Source organism: Homo sapiens, chromosome 2 (assembly GCF_000001405.40).
Source record: "Homo sapiens chromosome 2, GRCh38.p14 Primary Assembly".
Taxonomy (NCBI): Eukaryota; Metazoa; Chordata; class Mammalia; order Primates; family Hominidae; genus Homo; species Homo sapiens.
This window is the reverse complement of record NC_000002.12, coordinates 214273103-214295788: the sequence shown is the minus strand read 5'-3', so window position 1 is coordinate 214295788 and position 22686 is coordinate 214273103. Positions and strand designations below refer to the sequence as shown.

Genomic DNA, 22686 nt, shown 5'->3' with positions numbered 1-22686 from the left:
GAGACAGTCTTGTTCTGTGGCCCAGGCTGGAATTCGGTGGCTTGATCTCAGCTCACTGCAACCTCCGCCTCCTGGGTTCAAGCAATTCTGCAGCCTCAGCCTCCCAAGTAGCTGGGATTACAGACATGTGCCACCACGCCTGGTTAATTTTTGCATTTTCAGTAGAGATGGGGTTTCGCCATGTTAGCCAGGCTGGTCTCAAACTCCTTGGCTAAAGCAATCCACCCACCTCGGCCTCCCAAAGTGCTAGGATTACAGGCATGAGCCACTGTCCCTGGCCTTCATATCCCTTCTGTTCCAATTAAGGAGAGCTTAGGGAGGGAGGGTATTCAAAATTCCTTGAGTACCAATTGTTGGTATAAATTATTTATTGTGAGTAAGATTAAAAAAATACGCTTAATAAATGCTAGCTAGCAAAAACTGTTTCATTAGAGTGTGGAGTAAGTTTAGGGTTTTGTTAAAATCATTTCTCATGGTATGAGTGTTAGCAGAGAGTTCGCTGTATAACAAAGCAGGCATTGATAAAGAAGTTATCTCATGGATCCATTAGTTGAATAATGCCCCACCCACTTTTGCTCCTTGGTTGCCAGACTTCAAACTTGTCAGAAGATGGTGATGAGAGCAGAGATTCTGGTATCAAAAATGGAGTGAAGTGGTAGACCTGAGCACTAACCTCTTGATGATAGAGCTGGGTACTATTTATTTTACTCCTCAACCTCTCCAAATGATCAATGGGCCTAAATTCCCCAGACCCTAGACAGATGGCACTGTGACCGTGGCTAGAGCAAGTGCTCATACAGGGATACAGGCATTATCATTCTTTTCCAATAAATCAAGAATTTTGTATTCTGTGAAATAAAAATCAAGTGTGTATTAGAACAGTCATTAATGTTGGCTACATACTAAAGAGTCAAATCTAGCTAGATGTGTAGTGGCATCAGAAAAACATATTGGGAGAGGCATTAAGATCACCAGCATTATTATGTTTTGTTTGATAAACTCTCTTCTTTGGGGAAGACACCTATAAACATAAAGCAGGTTATTTAAAGCCAGCTAAAGATTGAGTATACATAGTCAAATATCAGATAATCTTTGGAGTCCTTATGACTAAATTCATGACTTGCTGCTAACAAAGTTCAATTATTAACTATAGTTAAGGTTTGATAGATGGCAAGTTTGCAGTGGCAAATCATGAATCACTGCTCATCACAGATCTAGGCTCTTTAATAAGTACAGTTGGCATTTCAATTAATAATATTTTGGCTGTCATAAGGGAAGAGGGTTGACTAGATGCAGCTATTATATGCCTCTCCATAAAGTGACACCAAAATGGCAAGTAGATATTCATAGTTCAAATGAGTCATCTATAAGAGAACACCAATATTCAACAGAGAAATTATTGGAAGCAACAAAGTCAAAGAATGAAAGGGAAATGAGGCAGCCTTCTCAGTTGGGATTGACTGGGAGCTGGAAGAAGCTCCCAGACACAGGGAAAGGGAAAATGTGTGATCCCCAGGGCTCCACATTCCTGCCATGGACTTACACAATCTTAGCCAAGAGCAAGCCCCTCGGCACCCACGAGCCTAGAAACTAACATAGGGAGCTGCCTACAGATTGCGCAGAGGCACCGCTTAAGAGAGGGAGCTCATGCTGGGTTTCACAGTCTTCTCAGCCTTGAGCAGCTGCAATATGGCACCATTCTGAGAGCTCAGTTCCAAAAGGACGGCATCCTGCCCTGGAGCTGATGGTGCTACTGCTACAGTCAGTCCAGGGAGAGATAAGGGAAGCCAGACATTTCATACACCCAAAGAACAAATCCACTGCTGCTGCTGTGGGCTGTTGTGGGACTAAGATATGAGGCAACTGTATGTCCCATAGCTGCCTGTCTATGTTGCTGTCATTGAGAGTGGCCCCACCTTCCCTGGTTGTAGGCCCATAGCTGGTACCATTCAGAAAGCTTAGTCTTCAAAGGCCTGCATTCTGCCCTGGGGCCACTGCTACCAGAGCTGCCACAGGAGGGAGATGGAAGGCCAGGAACTTTCACATGTCCCAAGGAGAAATACCACTGCTGCTACTGCAGGACCAGTGCATAAGCAAACCATGAGCTCCACAGCTGCCTTCCTAGGCTGCTCCCAATGAGAGTGGCCCCAGCCTCCCCAGAAGCAGACTCATAACACAGCCACTGCTGTCCCAACCTGAGCATTCTGCTAGTGACCTGGGGAGTATTCTGCCTCTGCCTATCATACGTAGTGCCTGAACATACTACCAGGGGTCCTGATGACAAATCTGCTCACCAGCTTTCATCTGAACAGTACCCAAGCACACATTCCAAAGGCCTAGGGATTACCAGACCAGCTCACCATCACTGGCACTTGAACACTACTGCCAGGGTCTGAGGTCAGGATTATCCAACCTACCAATACCACCACTGCAGACACTAACCCATATGAGCCAGCTGCAGGTCAAGGGACTTGCCCATCCAGCCTGTTGCAGCCACTGACAACACCAACACCAACATGAATTGGTGTTCCACTGAGTTGTGCTACCACTGCTTATGCCATTATGCACACCACACCACTGCCCAGAGGCCCAAGAACCCACACACAAGCCTGGCCTACTGCTGCCACTACTGGCATCTGAGAAAGCCATCTGGGGGCCCAAGAATTGGCCTGCCTGAATGTGCTAACACCAGAGCCAGCATACATTGCTCTACGGCTCAAGGTAAGGCATGCTTAGCCCACCACTACCACCACTGGGACTCAAAGACTGGACTATCCAGCATCCTCGTCCCCAGTAAGACTTTACCACATTCTTCACTAATAACTGTGTTCTAAGCCCTAAGCCACCGAGGAATTCAAAGATACCACTGACACTTTACAGCTGATGAAATCACAGATACTACAATATCGCATGCACTCAAAATTGAGGCCAAAGTTCTCTACCCAACCAACAACATATATAAATCTTCAGGAAAATGTCTTTCTCTGCAAAAGTAAGTTTAAAAAGTTGGAAGAAGCAACTACTACACCAGATGCACAGATATCAATGTGAGGATACAGGAAGCATCAAAAAGCAAGGAAATATGACACCTCCCAAAAATATAATTTTCTAACAACATATCCCAATCAAAATAAATCCATGAATTCCCAGAAAAGTAATTCAAAATGCTGAGTTTAAAGAAGCTCAGAAAGATAAATAAAAATGATTAAAGCAATACAGAGAAATCAGAAAAACAAGTCAGGATATGAATGAGAAATTTTCCGAATAGTTATTTAAAAAAAATCAGAAATACTGAAAATGAAAAATTTATTAAATGAAATAAAAATACATCTGAAAGCTTCAATAATAAACAAGATTAAGCAGAAGAAAGAATCTCAAAACTTGAATATGGGTGTTTTGAAATTGAATTATCAATGTCCCTGAGGGTGAAGAGAAAACAAGAGTTTAGTTAAGATCCTATTTAAAAAAACAATAAATCAAAACTTTCCAAGTCCAGCAACAGATTTACACATCCAGATACAGAAGGCCCAGTGATCCCCAAACAGCTACAATACCAAAAATTATCCACAGCATATTATAGTCCAACCATCTAAAGTCAGTATTAAAGAGAAAACTATATAAAACAGCAAGAAAAACATATTGTCACCTATAAAGGAACTCCCATCAGACTAACACTGGGGCTCAGCAGAAACCTGTTAGGCCAGGAGAAAATGGAATAACATATTCAAAGTGCTTTAAAAAAAAACAAACTTCCCACTCAAGGATATCATGCACAGCAAAATTATTCTTCATCAATAAAGGGGAAATGAAGTTTTTCCCAGACAAGCAAACACTGATGGCCCTTCACTGGCCCTACAAGAAATGCTTAAGGGACTCCTAAATCTGGAAGCGAAAAGACAACATTTACTATCATGAAATCACATGAAAGTATAAAACTTACTGATAAACCAAACACACAAATGAAGAAGAGATACAACCCAAATTGTACCACTACAGAAAACTACCTAACCACAATAGCAAATGAAAGAAGAAAAAGAAAGGAACAAAAAATATACAACACAACCCGAAACAACAATGTGGTAGGAAGTAAACCTTACATATCAATAATAACCTTGAATGTAAATGGATTAAATTCTCCACTTAAAAGACATAGACTGGTTGAATGGATAAAGAAACATGATCTAGGCCGGGCGCGGTGGCTCACGCCTGTAATCCCAGCACTTTGGGAGGCCGAGGCGGGCGGATCACGAGGTCAGGAGATCGAGACCATCCCGGCTAAAACGGTGAAACCCCGTCTCTACTAAAAATACAAAAAATTAGCTGGGCGTAGTGGCGGGCGCCTGTAGTCCCAGCTACTTGGGAGGCTGAGGCAGGAGAATGGCGTGAACCCGGGAGGCGGAGCTTGCAGTGAGCCGAGATCCCGCCACTGCACTCCAGCCTGGGCGACAGAGCAAGACTCCGTCTCAAAAAAAAAAAAAAAAAAAAAAAGAAACATGATCTAAATATATACTGCTAACAAGAAACACCCTTTACCTACAAAGACATATATAGACTCAAAGTGAAGTGCTGGAAAAAGATATTCCAAACAAAAGGAAACCAAAAGCGAGCAGGAGTAGCTATGCTTATGTCACATAAAATCAATTTTAAGTCAAAAACAGTAAAGAAAAAACAAAGGCCATTATATAATGACAAAGAGATTGTTTAAGCAATAGGAAATAACAATTCTAAATATATATACACCCAACACTAAATCACCCAAATTCATAAATCAAGTATTACCAGATCTAAAGAGAGAGGTACACTTCAATACAATAATAGTGGAAAATGTTAATACAGTAGATTTAAATTGCACTTTTAATAGAAACAGTAGATTTAAACTTTATTTTTGACCAAATAGACCTAACAGACATTTACAGGACATTTTATCCAAAATTACAAAATATACATTCTTCTCATCAGCAAATGGAACATTCTTCAGGATAAACCATAGTTTGGGACACAAAATAAGTCTTAACAAATCTTTTATAAAATAGAAATCACACTAAGCATATTCTCAGACTACAATAGAGTAAAACTAGAAATCAGTAAGAGGAACGTTGGAAACTATACAGATACATGAAGATTAAAAACATGCTTCTGGATAACCAACCATTGGGCCAATGAAGAAACTAAGATGGAAATCAAAAAATTTCTTGAAATAAATAAAAATGGAAATACAAAAATACCCAAACTTGTGGGAGACAGCAAAAGCAGTGCTAAAAGGGACATTTATAACAGTAAATATTTACATTTAAAAAGTAGAAAGATTTATAATCAACAACCTAATGATGCACCTCAAGGAATTAGGAAAGCAAGGGTAAGTCAAATCCAAAATTATCAGAAGGAAAGAAATAGTAAATATCAGATCAGAGCTCAATGACATAGAGATTCAAAAAAACACATTCAACAAAACAAAACAAAATTACAGGCCAATATTGCTGTGAAGAAGAGAAAAAACCCAAATAAACAAAATCAGAAAAGGAAACATTGCAATTGATACCAACAAAATACAAAAGATCATCAGAGATCATTATGCACAACTATATGCTAAAATACTGGAAAACCTAGAAGAAATGGATGAATTCCTCACAACATACACCTACCAAGACTGAATTAGGAAAAAGTAAAAAAAAACCTGAACATACCAATTGTGAGTAGTGACATTGAATCAGTAACGAAAGGTCTCCCAGCAAAGAAAATCCCAGGACCAGATGAATTCACAGCCAAATTCTACCAAACATATAAAGAACTAATACCAATTCTCCTGAAAGTATTCAAAAAAATTGAAGAGGTGAGAACTCTCCCTAAATCATTCTATGAGGCTAGCATTACCCAGGTACCAAACCAGACAAAGACACAACAACAAACTAAAACTACAGTTCAGTATCCCAGGCTTATGGATTGGGAAACTCAATTTTGTTAAATTTTCATACTGCTTAAAGCATCTATAGATCCTATGCATTTCCTATCAAAGTAAGAATGTCACTTTCCACAGAATTAAAAAAAATTATAGAATTCATATCAAACCAAAAAAGAGCAAGAAAAGCCAAAACAATCCTCAGCCAAAGGAACAAAGCTGAAGACTTCACACTACCCAACTTCAAAATATGTTAGACGGCTATAATAACCCAAACAAACAGCATGGTTTTGTTATAAGAGCAGACACATAGACCAATGGATCAGTGAGTCCAGAAGTAAATCCATATATTTATTGCCAACTTATTTTTGATAAAGGCATTAAGAACATGCTGGTAAAGGACATCCTCTTCAATAAACGGTTCTGGGAAAATTAGATGTACATATGTAAAATAATGAATCTGGACTGCTCTCTATATATAGAAAAATTAACTCAAGATCCATGAAAAACTTAAACATTAGACCTGGAACTGTAAAAATACTAGAAAAGAACACAGAAAATACACTTCAAGACATCAATCTTACAAACATTTCATGGCTAAGACCCCAAAAGCGCAGAGAACTATAACAAAAATAGACAAATGTGACTATTAAACTAAAAAGCTACATAGCAAGGAAACAATCCGTTGAGTGAAGAGACAACCTGTTGAATGGGAGAAAATATTTGCCAGCTATTCATGCAACAAGAGGCTAATATCTGAAATATACAAGAAACTCAAAACAACTCATCAACAACAACAAAAATCCTATTAAAAAGTGGGCAAAGGGCTGGGAACGGTGGCTCATGCCTGTAATCCCAGCACTTTGGGAGGCCAAAGCAGGTGGATCACGAGGTCAGGAGATCGAGACCATCCTGGCTAACACGGTGAAACCCCGTCTCTACTAAAAATTCAAAATATTAGCCGGGCGTGATGGCAGGTGCCTGTAGTCCCAGCTGCTCGAGAGGCTGAGGCAGAAGAATGGCGTGAACCGGGGAGGCTGAGCTTGCAGTGAGCTGAGATCGCGCCACTGCACTCCAGCCTGGGTGACAGAGCGAGACAACGTCTCAAATAAATAAATAAATAAATAAATAAATAAATAAGTGGGCAAAGGACAATAGACATTTCTCAAAAAGAAATGATCAAGTGGTATATGATAAAATACTCAGTATTGCTAACCAGCAGGGAAATGAAAATTAAAACCACAATGAGATATTACTTTATCCCAGTTAAAATGGCTCTTACTAAAAAGACAAAAAAAATTTAATAGATGCTGATCGGGATGTGAGGAGAAGGGAACTCATACACTGTCGGTGGGAATGAAAGTTAGTATAACCACTATAGAAGACAGAATGGAGATTTCTCAAAAAATCAAAAATAATACTACCATAAGATTCAGCAATCCCACTACTGGGTATTTATCCAAAGAAAAAGAAATATGTGTATCAAAGGGATACCTACCTGCACTTGCATGTCTTTGCGGCACTATTCACAATAGCAAAGATATGGAATCAACATAATTGTCCATTAATATATAAGTGGATTTTTTAAAAATACAGTATATTTACACAAAGGAATACTATTTGGCCATAAAAATAATAAAATTAGGGCATTTGCAGTAACATGGATGGAACTGGAAGTTGTTACATTAAGTGAGATAAGCCAGACACAGCACAACAGATACTATATGTTTTCATGCATACGTGGGAGCTAAAAAAGTTGATCTCATGGAGACAGAGAATAGAATTATAGATGCCAGAGGCTTGGAAGGGTGGGATTGGGGGGGGCGGTAAACCAAGGTTGATTAGTGGGCACAGGTATACAGTTAAATAGAAGAAATAATCCCCAATATTCAAAAGCACAGTAGGGTGATTATAGTTAGCAACAAATGTATTGTATATTTCCAAGTAGCTAGGAGAGAGGACTTGACGTGTTACTAACACATAGAAATGATAAATACTCAAGGTGATGGATACCCAAAATCACCTGACTTGGTCATTACCTATTCTACATATGTAACAAATACTAAAATACAGATAGGTGAAGCATTTTGTTTCAATAAAACACTTTGTGCTAAAATTAATGAAAACTGGACTTTTAAATTTCCTCACACACTGATTTTTCAAGTACATGAGTCAAATCCATTTCCAAGATGTAATTTTCTATTGATATTGATACTTTCATAGAAATCAACTAATGTGAATGCATTCAATTGTAATGATTGATAGAAAAATCAGTATTTTAAGATATTGAAACTCAAAAAAATAATACTGCCTCAAATAGATGAGCAGATGAAAAGTGTTGCAATTTCTGAAAGCCCACCCCCAACTATGGTCTGATCAAGCTGCATTGGCAAGAAAATTCCACTCTTAGAGGACTGACTCCTTTTAAAGAGATTTAATCTCTTTGGATTCATTTAACTACAGAGCACCACTCTTTAAAAATGTCAATATATCAAATACAATAATAAATCTGAGAACTGTCAGCTTATATTTTATTTCATGATGCCATTTCTATAATGGGATACAGAAGGAAATCACTGATAAGTTCTTATAACAGAAAAGATAAAAGAAATGAAATTTGAAGAGTAATTTCTACTTTCAAATACTTTCAGTGCTTGTACAGATAGAGTTCAGCAATCATTCAATGTCAACATTTCAGTGGATATAATCAATAGGAAATGGTTCAGAAAGTAACAGGCCATGCATGATTATGGCATTTGCTAAATATGCAAGGAGGAAAGGTAAGTTAGGTTTGTGTTTCTGATGGTGTAATTATAAGATGTAGGGAATCTTATACCAAAATAAATATGTAAATAAAATACCTTTCCTGAAGAACTTTATTAATCTCCAAATATATCTTTTCAGTCTTAATTCACAGCTAATTCAGTAAATTTAAAATAATTAGAAAAGGTCTTTCATGGCAGTTACAATTCAAATTAAGAGACGAGGAAGATGAGATTCATGGAAGTGATCCATCATTAGCCTACTATGGGTAGCATTAATAATTTCATAGGTCAATCATTTTTAGTGATTCTAATGCAGCCAGAGAATATCAGAACAAGTTATCACTGTTATTTTTTATTTTATTTATTTATTTGTTTATTTTTGAGACACAGTCTCACTCTGTCGCCCAGGCTGGAGTGCAGTGGTGTGATCTTGGCTTACTGGAAACTCTGCCTCTTGGGTTCAAGTGATTCTTGTGCCTCAGCCACCCAAGTAGATGGGATTATAGTTGTGCACCACCACACCCAGCTAATGTTTGTATTTTTAGTAGAGACAGGGTTTTGGCAGGTTGGCCAGGCTGGTCTCCAACTCCTGGCTTCAAGTGATATGCCCACCTTAGCCTCACAAAGTGCCGGGATTATAGGTGTGAGCCACCACGCCCAGCCTCTGTTATTTTTTTATACACTATTTATTTAGTCATTTATAGTATTATTGGGGTTTTACATGGATTTTGGAGAAATAAATTACATAAGCATTCATATAAACTTTTTGGGATCCCTGAAGATTCTTTGTGTGTGTGTGGTGAGAACACTTAATAAGAGCTTAGCAAATTTCAAGTACACAATACAGTACTGTTAACTATAGTCACATTGTTGTACGTTAGATCTCCAGAGCCTATTCATCTTGCGTAACTGAAACTTTGTATCCCCAGACCAACATCTCCCCCTTACTCCGTTCACCACAGCCCAGCAACCACCATTCTACTCTCTGCTTCTTGAGTTCAAATATTTTTGGTTCCATATAGAAATAAATAATGTAGTATTTATCTTTCTGTGTCTGGCTTACTTCACTTTGCATAATGTCAAGTGATGTACAAAAGTTAACTCAATGGAATAAGACCTACACATATTTCCAAAAATCATAAAACTACTAGAAGAAAACATAGGGAAAAAGCTTATTAACATTGGTCTAGACGATGACATTTTGGCTATGACAGTGAAAGCATAGGCATCAAAAGCAAAACTAGGAAAGTGGGATTGCATCAAACTAAAAGCGTCTGCTTTTTAGCAGTTTTTTCATTATTATTTATTTATTATTATTATTATTTGAGATGGAGTCTTGCATTATCGCCAGGGCTGGAGTGTAGTGGTGTGATCTTGGTTCACTGCAACCTCCGCCTCCCAGGTTCAAGTGATTCTCCTGCCTCAGCCTCCTGAGTAGCTGGAATTACAGGCACCCACCACCACATCTAGCTAATTTTTTGTATTTTTAGTAGAGATGGGGTTTCATCATGTTGGCCAGGCTGGTCTCGAACTCCTTGTGATTTGCCCACCTCGGCCTCCCAATGTGCTAGGATTACAGGTGTGAGCCACCACGCCCGGCTAGCAGTTTTAGTAGTTAAGTAGTTTAGTAGTTCAGTGGGTTTCGTTAGTTTTTCATCTGAACAGCAAATGAAACAATCAACAGAATGAAATAGAAACTCATGGATTGGGAAAAAATGTTTGCAAGGCATACATCTGATAAGGGCTTAATATCCAAAATATGTAAGAAACTGTTACAACTCAATAGTTGAAAAAAAACAAAACCTCAAATAATCTGATTAAACAATGAGCAACAGACCTGAGTAGATACTTTTCCAAGGAAGGCAAACAAATGGCCAACAGGTAGATGAAAAGGTGCTGTCATCACTAATCATCAGGGAAATACTATTGAAAACCACAATGAGGTATCATCTCCCACCTGTTAAATTGTCTATTATCAAAAAGATAAAAGATACATATTGGCAAGAATATGAGGAAAGAGAACCTTTGTACACAGTTGGTGGGAGAGTAAATTGGTACAGCCATTATGGAAAACAGTATGGAGGTTCCTCAAAAAAATAAAAATAGATCTATAATAGAGCCAACAATCTCACTTTTGGGGATAAATCCAAAGAAAGAAAATCAGTATATTAAAGATACATTTGTACATCTGTTGATTGTGGTCCTACTCATCATAGCCAAGACATGAAATCAACCTAAGTGTCCATCAGTGGATGAATGGATAAAGACAATGTGGTTACACACAAATACATATGCACACACACACACACACACACACACACACACACACAGAGTAAAATATTATTCAACCTTAAAAATGAGTTTATTGGATAAAAGATAATTTGGTAATGAAGTTTGACTAGATTGGAAAAACTAAAAGACTTTCTTACCTAATGAATGCACCAATCATTTTCAACTTACATAATATTTAGCTGTACTCTTAACTTTCTGCATCTGTAGATCTCAACAGAGTACTGCGCAAAGACCTCCAAATGAATATACACTTTTTCTTTTCAGTGGACAAAAGGAGCAGAGTGCTCCTGAGGGTCTCCTACCTGTAGTTCTTTGATAGGTGCGTGGAGCTAGAGAAACATGAGACAGATGCACCACCAGTAGGGTGTATATTATAATATTTAATGCTCAACCAAGTAGTTAGAATCAATAACCAAAAGGAGAAATACTATATAAATTGGTGCTAGATGCTATGTATAGACCTCAATGTTCTGGAAAGTTAAGGAAGAAACAAATCAAACTAAAGGAAATTAAAGGGATGAGATAAGCTGGGTTTTGGAGAGCTGATACAATTTATCAAGACAAAAAGGAAAAAAGAAGAGCAATATGACTGACATAAAATAATCAGCCCTTGTTAGTGACCTAGAAGATAATCTTTGTGTTTTTTCTCATAACGCAGTCTCTTTCAGAGGATATTCACTGCAGGGTATTTCCTTACACCCCAAAAGAGGGGTGCTATATAAGGATATGACCTAGTCATGAAATCTCTACTTAAGAATGTACAGTGCTTATTTCTAGATGTTATCTGGAAGTCTAACTGAAAAGCTCTCAAATCAATAGGATACGTTTTGATTATTAATTAGCATTTTCATGACATCTTAATGAATGCTTCCATTGTGCTTTATTTAATAAATTACTGATTTTATTGCCCCCTTTATTCACTGGTAATTTAAAGAAGTTTATAATGTCAATTTCTTGTGTTTTTTCTAAAGATTAAATTCAAAGTGCTATTGTACAAATAAGCAGAGCTAGAACTATCACAGATGAGAAAGGAATTGGCTGAATATCTTTATCCTTAATGCCGCAGTGTTATATGTGTACTTAAAGCAATTTGCTCATTAAACAGAAAACTATTAGAGCAGCAAGCAAAAATTCTGCCAATATCAGCAGAAAGCATTAGTTTGGAGTACAATCTTTCTTCTAAATTTTGGCTAAAGCTTTTTATTTTTTTATTTTTTGTAAAGTTAATTCTACAGTTTAAAACAGTGGTTTAGAGTATTATCTCCAGAGTGTTTCTTGCTCCATAACTTAATGGATCTTTCTGTTTCCACATCTGTAAATTAGGGGTAAAAATAGCATCAAACTTATAGGCCTTGTGGCAATTAAAGAAGTTAAGATATGTAATGTATTTAGAAATACCTGAAGTATTTAAAGGAGTGGGAATATGTGAAGTGTTATACAGTGCTAATATGGGGCTGGCATGTATTTAACACCCTATAAGTATTTGCTATTATTTTTGTGGTGGTTGTTGCTGCTGTCATGACTAAACTATAAATCAACAAGAAGAGACCAAAGTCTTTACACTTTTAAGAAGACTGGTTCACACACGTTATTATGATGATAATTCAACAAAATAACTGATGCAGGCAAGATAAACAAATTACTCAGGCAGTAAACCTGTGTACAATCAATTTACTGACAGAAGACTGGTGGGCCCTGCAATTATTAATAATTATTAATAATTATCACAGTTATATACTTTTATGTGTTTGCTAGGCTGCATCTTTTCTTACATATATAATTTTTTTAGAGTATTGGTTGCTGTCATCTATATATCTCATGCTGAGTCAGTATCAGAGTTAGGTGGAGGCTCCTGTCAATTTTTCATCTGAACCTGCTGTGATCCTTTTTGTCTTTTCTCAGCAAATCTGTCAGTCGAAGGTAAAGGCTTCTTCCACCTATTTAGAAAATCCACTCTGCTATCATACATAATATGTCAAGTTGAAGAAACCTACATAGTGTCTCACAGTTTTGGACTGGATATTATGAGACTTGAAATCTGGTTCCAGCACTTGTTGCCAATTACTCCTCATATCCTAAGTTAGCCATTTAAATTGAGCTCACTTCTGGCTTTTATATATTGAGGAGATATATTACAAAGGTTTCTGTGGTCTTTTCTGCTCCAAAATTTTCATTCTAAGATTGTAGAAAAAAATTAATCAAAAATTAAAAGACGGTATTTCTTTAAAATCTTAGTCAAAAATCAAGAAGAATATATCTGTGAAATTGTGTCCTATTAGAATAGGTAGTAAGAATCACTAGGAAATAATGCAATTCCCAGATAAAGCTTCCTCTGTATTTAGAAGAAATAATCAGTCTATCAATTGACTAAACACAAATGTTTTATACAATAAATTAATATTAATCTTAGGAAATACTGAATTGACAGATTTGAACCAGGAACAAAATCCACTAGTGTTTATCAGTGTTATTAAATATTTCTCCTCATTAGATTTATTGTGACCATAGTAGAGTACCATTTTCTTTTTTTCTGATAACACTTTTTTAAGTAATTTTATTATAATTGATTCAATCTACATCATTTATAATTTATGTTTAATTTATGATATTTTGGATTTCTAAATGTTTTAAAACGTGCTTTATTCATATTTTAACAGCGTTAAAGTATAATTGATCTGCAATAAAATGTACACATATAAAGTGTACAATTCAATGTTTTAACACATGTATACACTTCTGGAGCCTTTATCACAATCAAGATAGTAAACATATCCATCACCTCTGAAAGTTTCTTTGTTCTCCTTTATAATGAGAGATTAGAACCCACTGCAATCCTCTCTACAGGAAGCCACTGATGTGCTTTCAGTTATACAGATCACTTTGCATTTTTTTGAGTTCTATATAAATGGGATCACACCATATATACTGTTTTTTGACTAGCTTTTAAAACTCAGTATCATTATTTCTAGATTCATCCACACTGTGTTTATCAGTAGTTTATTACATTTTATTGTATGGACATACTACAATTTGGATGATGGTCATTTGAGTTATTTCTAGTTTTTGACTATTGAATATAAAGGTTCTATGAATATTTGGGTACAAGTCTTTGTATGGACATATGTTTTTGTTTCTCTTAGGAGTATAATGGCTGAGTCATATGATAGGTAGGTATATATTAAACTTTCTAAAAAACTGTTAAACTATTTTCCAAACAGGTAGGAGTCATGCCATTTTACATTCCCACCAGGAGTGTGTGAGAGTTCCCGTTCCTCCCTGTCATCAACTTCATCAGAAATCAGTTGCTCCCTCTTTTCCCCACCTAGCGCTGCTGAGCCTAGAAGTCTCTGCCAAGCCGCAGACGTGGGCATTTGCTCTGCAGGATGTGGTTCATTAAAGTTGTTAAGACTAAGGCCTACTTTAAGAGACACCAAGTGAAATTTAGAAGACAATGGGACGGTAAAATTGATTACTATGCTCAGAAACGCTTGGTGATACAGGATAAAAATAAATAGGAAACACCCAAATACAGGATGATAGTGTAACAGATATCATTTGTCATATTGCTTATGCCTGTATAGAAGGGGATATGATAGTCTGCATAGCATATGCACATGAACTGCCAAAATATGGCGTGAAGGTTGGCTTGACAAATTACGCTGCAGCGTATTGTACTGGCCTGCTGCTGGACCACAGGCTTCTCAATAGGTTTGGTATGGACAAGATCTATGAAGGCCAAGTGGAGGTGACTGGAGATGAAGGCCTTGCCAGAACTACTACTGGCAATAAAGTTTCTGGCGCCCTGAGGGAGCTGTGAATGGAGGTTTGTCTATCCCTTACAGTACCAAACGATTCCCGGTTATGATTCTGAAAGCAAGGAATTTAATGCAGAAGTACACTGGAAGCACATTATCAGCCAGAATGTCGCAGATTACATGTGCTACTAAGTAGAGGAAGATGAAGATGCTTACAAGAAACAATCCTCTCAATATATAAAGAACGGCATAACTCTAGACATGGAGGAGATGTATAAGAAAGCTCATGCTGCTATATGAGAGAATCTAGTCTATGAGAAGACGCCCAGGAAATAAGTTAAAAGAGATAGAACCATCCCAAAATGTCCCTTGCTCAGAAGAAAGATCAGGTAGCTCAAAAGAAGGCAAGCTTCCTCACAGCTCAGGGGCAGGCTACTGAGAGCTAAACCAAATAGTTTTCTATGAAGATTTTTCAGAAAGACGATAAATTTAAAAAAAACGAACAACAGTTGCCCATATGTGGATCTATTTCTGTAATCTCTACTCTGTTTCTTTGACCAAGTTATTTCTTTATGCCAGTCCAATAGTCTTGATTATTGTAGCATCATAATAAACCTTGAGAGCAGATAGTGTTACTACTCCAAATATGTTCTTTTTCAAAGTTGTTATAGTGATTCTATATTTTTTTATTTCCATACGAGTTTTAAAATAAGCTTGAAAATTTCTTCAGTTAAGACCTGCAAGGATTTGAACTGGCATTGTATTTAATCTATAGATAAGTCTGGGGAGAATTGACATCTTAATCATTTTGAGTCTTCTGTTGATGAACAAGTATAGCTCTCTATGTCTTCTTTATTTTTTTCTGCATGTTTTTTAGTTCGCATGGTGAATTACATTGTCTGATTTCAAATATTAAACCAACATTGCATTACCGACATCATCTCTATTTGATCATTTCTGTCCTGCTATTTATACTTTCCTTTCTGCTATGTTGAGTTAATTTTCATGTCTTCTAGTGTCTTAAAGTGATCGTTGGTGTCATCAATTTGAGACATCTTTTCTTCAGTAATGTCAGCATATAGTGCTGTAAATTCCTAAGAACTGCTTTAGCATCATTCCTTAGTTTTTCCTATGTTTGTATTTTCATTGCCATTCACTTCAAAATACTTTTTTATTTCTTCTTTGATCCATGGGTTTTTTTGATTTTCAAATATTTGGGGACTGACTGAATTTTAAGTCTATCCTGTTTTAGTTAGAGAAATACATTGTGTGAGTTGAATCTTTTAAAATTCACTAAGACTTATTTTATGGCTTAGTATATATCTTGGTCAATGTTTCATGTATACTTGAAATGAATATGTGTTGTGCTATTGATGGATGGTACTACAAATGTCAGTTTCCTCACATGCATGTCCTGATCAGTACTCTGATGAATACTTGAGGAGTACCTTATGCAAATATTTGGGGTTCCTTCTGTATCTTTCTCCTCTCCAGAGCTCTATTCTGTGAATTCCAAAAGCCTTGCTGTCCCTGTGCTCTCATTTTCATTTCCTTACCTTACAGAGTTCATCAATTTCCATCTGGGCTCTCCTTTCTCGAGTTGTGGCTCAGAAATTCTCTGAAAGCAGGAAAATGATGCAAATGTAGCACTGTGTTTTTCATCTCTCTGGGTTCCTTCTACTTTATTGCCTAGTGTTTTGCAATTTTAAAAAAATGCTTGTTTCTCAAGAGGTTGAGGAGGGCGGATCACAAGGTCAAGAGATTGAGACCATCCTTGCGAACATGGTGAAACCCAGTCTTTACTAAAAATACAAAAATTAGCTGGGCATTGTGGTGCATGCCTGTAGGCCCAGCTACTTGGGAGGCTGAGGCAGGAGAATCGTTTGTACCCGGCAGGCGGAGGTTGCAGTGAGCTGAGATCGTGCCACTGCACTCCAACCTGAAGACAGAGCGAGACTCAAAAAAAAAAAAAAAAAAGCTTGTTTCATATATTCTGTTTGTTTTTGTTGTTGCTTGTTATTGTTTCAGGCACAAGGGTACATCCAATTACTGTTCCTCTAACTTAGATAGAAGCAGAAGCCAAGTACATGTTCAAAATAAAAAATCTGCAGTGGTGTTTAAAAGATGACACAGGAAAAGTGGTGTTTGAATCACTTGCTTGCGGTAATGTCTGTAATCACAGTTCCACATTTAGGTTAAAATGTAGTTTTTCATTATTCTGTGAATCTTGTTTTCTGAAGTTTCAAATGTAGGTATAAAAACAATTCTTTTAGGTTGAAACACAAACATTAAGAAAATAAATTATTCCATTTGAAAAGTGGGATTTGTTTGCATTCACCGTGGCATAATCCAAAATCAAATGGGAGCTTTAAAGGGAATAATTGAAAGATGAAGGCTCTCAAATTTGCCCCTCATATTTCCTCATTTTATTTACCAGAAAATAAGTTTTTTCTCAAAGATAGTGCTTCTTAGAAAAATATCAAGATTTATAAGGCATTTAGATAGTCTCTTTATAGAAGGACTAGATCAGTCCCACAGTAGCTCAAATATACCACTGTATGATACAGTTCCTCCACCTAGACAAAATAAGGTCAATAATCTTTCATACCTTGAAAGAGGATGTGGTCCGGTTCTAAGATGGCTGCATAGGAACAGCTATGGTCTGCAGCTCCCAGCATGATTGATGCAGAAGATGTGTGATTTCTCCATTTCCAAGTCAGGTACCTGGTTCATCTCACTGGGACTGGTTGGACAGTGGGTGCGGCCCAGGAAGGGTGAGCCAAAGCAGGGTGGGGCATCACCTCACCCGGGAAGTGCCAGGGGTTGGGAGATTTCCCTTTCCTAGCCAAGGTAAGCCATGACAGACTGTACCTGGAAAAATGGGGCACTCCCGCCTAAATACTGTGCTTTTCCAACCGTCTTAGCAAACAGCACACCAGGGGATTACATCCTGCGCCTGGCTCGGTGGGTCCCACGCCCACAGAACCTTGCTCACTGCTAGTGCAGCAGTCTGAGATTGACCTGCGACCTGCGAGGCAGCAGCCTGGCAGGGGGAGGGGCATCCGCCATTGCTGAGGCTTGAGTAGGTAAACAAAGCAGCCAGGCAAGCTAGAACTGGTGGACCCCACCACAGCCCAGCAAGGTGGGCTGCCTCTGTTGACTCCACCTCTAGGGGCAGGGCATAGTTGAACAAAAGGCAGCAGAAACTTCTGCAGACTTAAACGTCCCTGTCTGACAGCTCTGAAGAGAGCAGTGGTTCTTCCAGCACAGCGTTTGAGCTCTGAGAACGGACAGACTGCTTCCTCAAGTGGGTCCCTGACCCCTGTGTAGCCTAACTGGGAGACATCTCCCAGTAGGGGCTGATTGACACCTCATACATGTGGGTTCCCCTCTGGGATGAAGCTTCCAGAAGAAGGATAAGGCAGCAATATTTGCTGTTCTGCAATATTTGCTATTCTTCAGCCTCCGCTGGTGATACCCAGGCAAACAGGGTCTGGAGTGGACCTCCAGCAAACTCCAACAGACCTGCAGCTGAGGGACCTGACTGTCAGAAGGAAAACTAACAAACAGAAAGGAACAGCATCAACATCAAGAAAAAGGACATCCACACCAAAACCCCATTGGTAGGTCACTAACATCAAAGACCAAAGGTAGATAAAACCACAAAGATGGGGAGAAACCAGAGGAGAAAAGATGAAAATTCTAAAAACGAGAGCACCTCTTCTCCAAATTATCGCAGCTCCTCACCAGCAACAGAACAAAGCTGGACAGAGAATAACTTTGACGAGTTGACGGAACTAGGCTTCAGAAGGTCGGTAATAACAAGCTAAAGGAGCTAAAGGAGGATGTTTGAACCCATCACAAGGAAGCTAAAAACCTTGAAAAAAGATCAGACAAACGGCTAACTGGAATAAACAATGTAGAGAAGACATTAAATGACCTGATGGAGCTGAAAACCATGGCATGAGAACTACGTGACACATGCACAAGCTTCAGTAGCCGATTCGATCAAGTGGAAGAAAGGCTATCAGTGATTGAAGATCAAATTAATGAAATAAAGCGAGAAGTTTAGAGAAAACAGAGTAAAAAGAAATGAACAAAGCCTCCGAGAAATATGGGACTATGTGAAAAAAAACAAATCTATGTTTGATTAGTGTATCTGAAAGTGACGGGGAGAATGGAACCAAGTTGGAAAACACTCTGCAGGATATTATCCAGGAGAACTCCCCCAACCTAGTAAGGCAGGCCAACATTGAAATTCAGGAAATAAAGAGAACACCACAAAGATACTCCTCAAGAAGAGCAACCCCAAGACACATAATTGTCAGATTCACCAAGGTTCAAATGAAGGAAAAAATGTTAAGGGCAGCCAGAGAGAAAGGTCAGGTTACCCACAAAGGGTAACTATCAGACTAACAGCAGATCTCTCTGCAGAAACTCTACAAGCTGGAAGAGGGTTGAGGGACAACATTCAACATTCTTAAAAGAATTTTCAACCCAGAATTTCATATCCAGCCAAACTAAGCATCGTAAGTGAAGTAGAAATAAAATCCTTTACAGAGAAGCAAATGCTGAGAGATTTTGTCACCACCAGGCCTGCCTTAAAAGAGCTCCTGAAGGAAGCACTAAACATGGAAAGGAACAACCAGAACTAGCCACTGTAAAAACATGCCAAATTGTAAAGACCACCAATGCTAGCAAGAAACTACATCAATTAATGGGCAAGATAACCAGCTTACATCATAATGACAGGATCAAATTCACACATAACAATATTAACCCTAAATGTAAATGGGCTAAATGCCCCAATTAAAAGAGACAGACTGGCAAATTGGATAAAGAGCCAAGACCCATCAGGGTGCTGTATTCAGGAGACCCATCTCACGGGCAGAGACACACATTGGCTCAAAATAAATGGATGGAGGAAGATCTACCAAGCAAATGGAAAGCAAAAGAAAAGCAGGGGTTGCAATTCTAGTCTCTGATAAAACAGACTTTAAACCAACAAAGATCAAATGAGACAAAGAAGGCCATTACATAATGGTAAAGGGATCAATTCAACAAGAAGAGCTAACTATCCTAAATATATATGCACCCAATACAGGAGCACCCAGATGCATAAAGCAAGTCCTTAGAGACCCACAAAGAGACTTAGACTCCCACACAATAATAATGGGAGACCTTAACACTCCACTGTCAATATTAGACAGATCAACGAGACAGAAGATTAACAAAGATATCCAGGACTTGAACTCAGCTTTGCACCAAGTGGACCTAATAGACATCTACAGAACTCTCTACCCCAAATCAACAGAATATACATTCTTCTTAGCACCACATCCCACTTATTCCAAAACTGACCACATAGTTGGAAGTAAAGCACTCCTCACCAAATGTAAAAGAACAGAAATCACAACAAACTGTCTCTCAGACCACAGTGCAATCAAATTAGAACTCAGGATTAAGAAACTCACTCAAAATGGCACAACTACATGGAAACTGAACAACCTCCTCCTGAATGACTCCTGGATAAATAATGAAATGAAGGCAGAAATAAAGATGTTCTTTGAAACCAATGAGAACAAAGACACAATGTACCAGAATCTCTGGGACACATTTAAAGCAGTGTGTAGAGGGAAGTTTATAGCACTAAATGCCCACAAAAGCAGGAAAGATCTAAAATTGGCACCCTAACTTCACAATTAAGAGAACTAGAGAAGCAAGGCCAAACAAATTCAAAAGCTAGCAGAAGGCAAAAAATAACTAAGATCAGAGCAGATCTGAAGGAGATAGAGACACAAAAAACCCTTCAAAAAATTAATGAATCTAGCAGCTGGTTTTTTGAAAAGATCAACAAAATTGATAGACTGCTAGCAAGACTAATAAAGAAGAAAAGAGAGAAGAATCAAATAGACACAATAAAAAATGGTAAAGCGGATATCACCACTGATCCCACAGAAATACAAACTACCATCAGAGAATACTATAAACACCTCTACACAAATAAACTAGAAAACCTAGAAGAAATAGATAAATTCCTGGACATATACACCCTCCCAACACTAAACCAGGAAGAAGTTGAATCTCTGAATACACCAATCACAGGCCATGAAATTGAGGCAATAATTAATAGCCTACCAACCAAAAAAAGTTTAGGACCAGATGGATTCACAGCTCAATTCTACTAGAGGTACAAAGAGGAGCTGGTACCATTGCTTCTGAAACTATTCCAATCAATAGAAAAAGAGGGAATCCTCCCTAACTCATTTTACAAGGCCAGCATCATTCTGATACCAAAGACTGGCAGAGACACAACAAAAAAGAGAATTTTAGACCAATATCCCTGATGAACATCGATGCAAAAATCCTCAATAAAATACTGGCAATCTTAATCCAGCAGCACAACAAAAAGCTTATCCAAGACAATCAAGTGAGCTTCATCCCTGGGATGCAAGGCTGGTTCAACATATGCAAATCATTGAACATACTCCATCACATAAACAGAACCAATGACAAAAACCATATGATTACCTCAATAGATGCAGAAAAAAGGCCTTTGACAAAATTCAACAGCCCTTCATGCTAAAAACTCTCAATAAACTAGGTATTGCTGGAACATATCTCAAAATAGTAAGAGCTATTTATGACAAACTCACAGCCAATATCATGCTGAATGGGCAAAAACTGGAATCATTCCCTCTGAAAACTGGCACAAGATAGGGATGCCCTCTCTCACCACTCCTATTCAACACAGTGTTGGAAGTTCTGGCCAGGGCAATCAGGCAGGAGAAAGAAATAAAGGGTATTCAATTAGGAAAAGAGGAAGTCAAATTGTCCCTGTTTGCAGATGACATGATTGTATATTAGAAAGCTCACTGTCTCAGCGCAAAATCTCCTTAAGCTGAGAAGCAACTTCAGCAAAGTCTCAGGATACAAAATCAATGTGTAAAGATCACAAGCATTCCTATACACCAATAACAGACAAACAGAGAGCCAAATCATGAGAGAACTCCCATTCACAATTGCTACAAAGAGAATAAAATACCTAGGAATCCAACTTACAAGGGATGTGAAGGGCCTCTTCAAGGAGAACTGCAAACTACTGCTCAACGAAATAAAGGGGGACACAAACAAATGGAAGAACATTCCATGCACATGGATAGGAAGAATCAATATCGTGAAAATGGCCATACTGCACAGGGTAACTTACAGATTCAGTGCAATCCCCATCAAGCTACCAATGACTTTCTTCACAGAATTGGAAAAAACTGCTTTAAATTTCATATGGAAACAAAAAAGTGTCTGCATTGCCAAGGCAATCCTAAGCAAAAAGAACAAAGCTGGAAGTATCACACTACCTGACTTCAAACTATGTTACAAGGGTACAGTAACCAAAACAGCATGGTACTGGTATCAAAACAGATACATAGACCAATGGAACAGAACAGAGGCCTCAGGAATAACACCACACATCTACAATAATCTGATCTTTGACAAACCTGACAAAAAAAAGAAATAAATGGGGAAAGGATTCACTATTTAATAAATGGTGTTGGGAAAACTGGCTAGTCATATGTATAAAGCTGAAACTAGATCCCCTCCTTACACCTTACACAAAAATTAATTCAAGATGGATTAAAGACTTAAATGTTAGACCTAAAACCATAAAAACCCTAGAAGAAAACCTAGGCAATACCATTCAGGACATAGGCATGGGCAAGGGCTTCATGTCTAAAATACCAAAAGCAATGGCAACAAAAGCCAAAATAGACAAATGGGATCTGATTAAACTAAGATCTTCTGCACAGCAAAAGAAACTACCATTAGAGTGAACAGGCAACCTACAGAATGGGAGAAAATTTTTGCGATCTACCCATCGGACAAAGGGCTAATATCCAGAATCAACAAAGAACTTAAACAAATTTACAAGAAAAAAACATACAACCCCATCAAAAAGTGTGCAAAGGATATGAACAAA

At 38.0% G+C, this 22686-nt stretch overlaps 1 protein-coding gene and 1 pseudogene across 11 annotated transcripts in view; one reads left to right on the top strand and one right to left on the bottom strand.

Annotated features, from left to right (window-relative positions):
• Positions 1-22686, bottom strand: part of SPAG16 (sperm associated antigen 16) — a 1126038-nt gene that overhangs the window by 114713 nt on the left and 988639 nt on the right. The window lies entirely within an intron of this gene.
• On the top strand, positions 14265-15200 carry RPL5P8 (ribosomal protein L5 pseudogene 8; annotated as a pseudogene).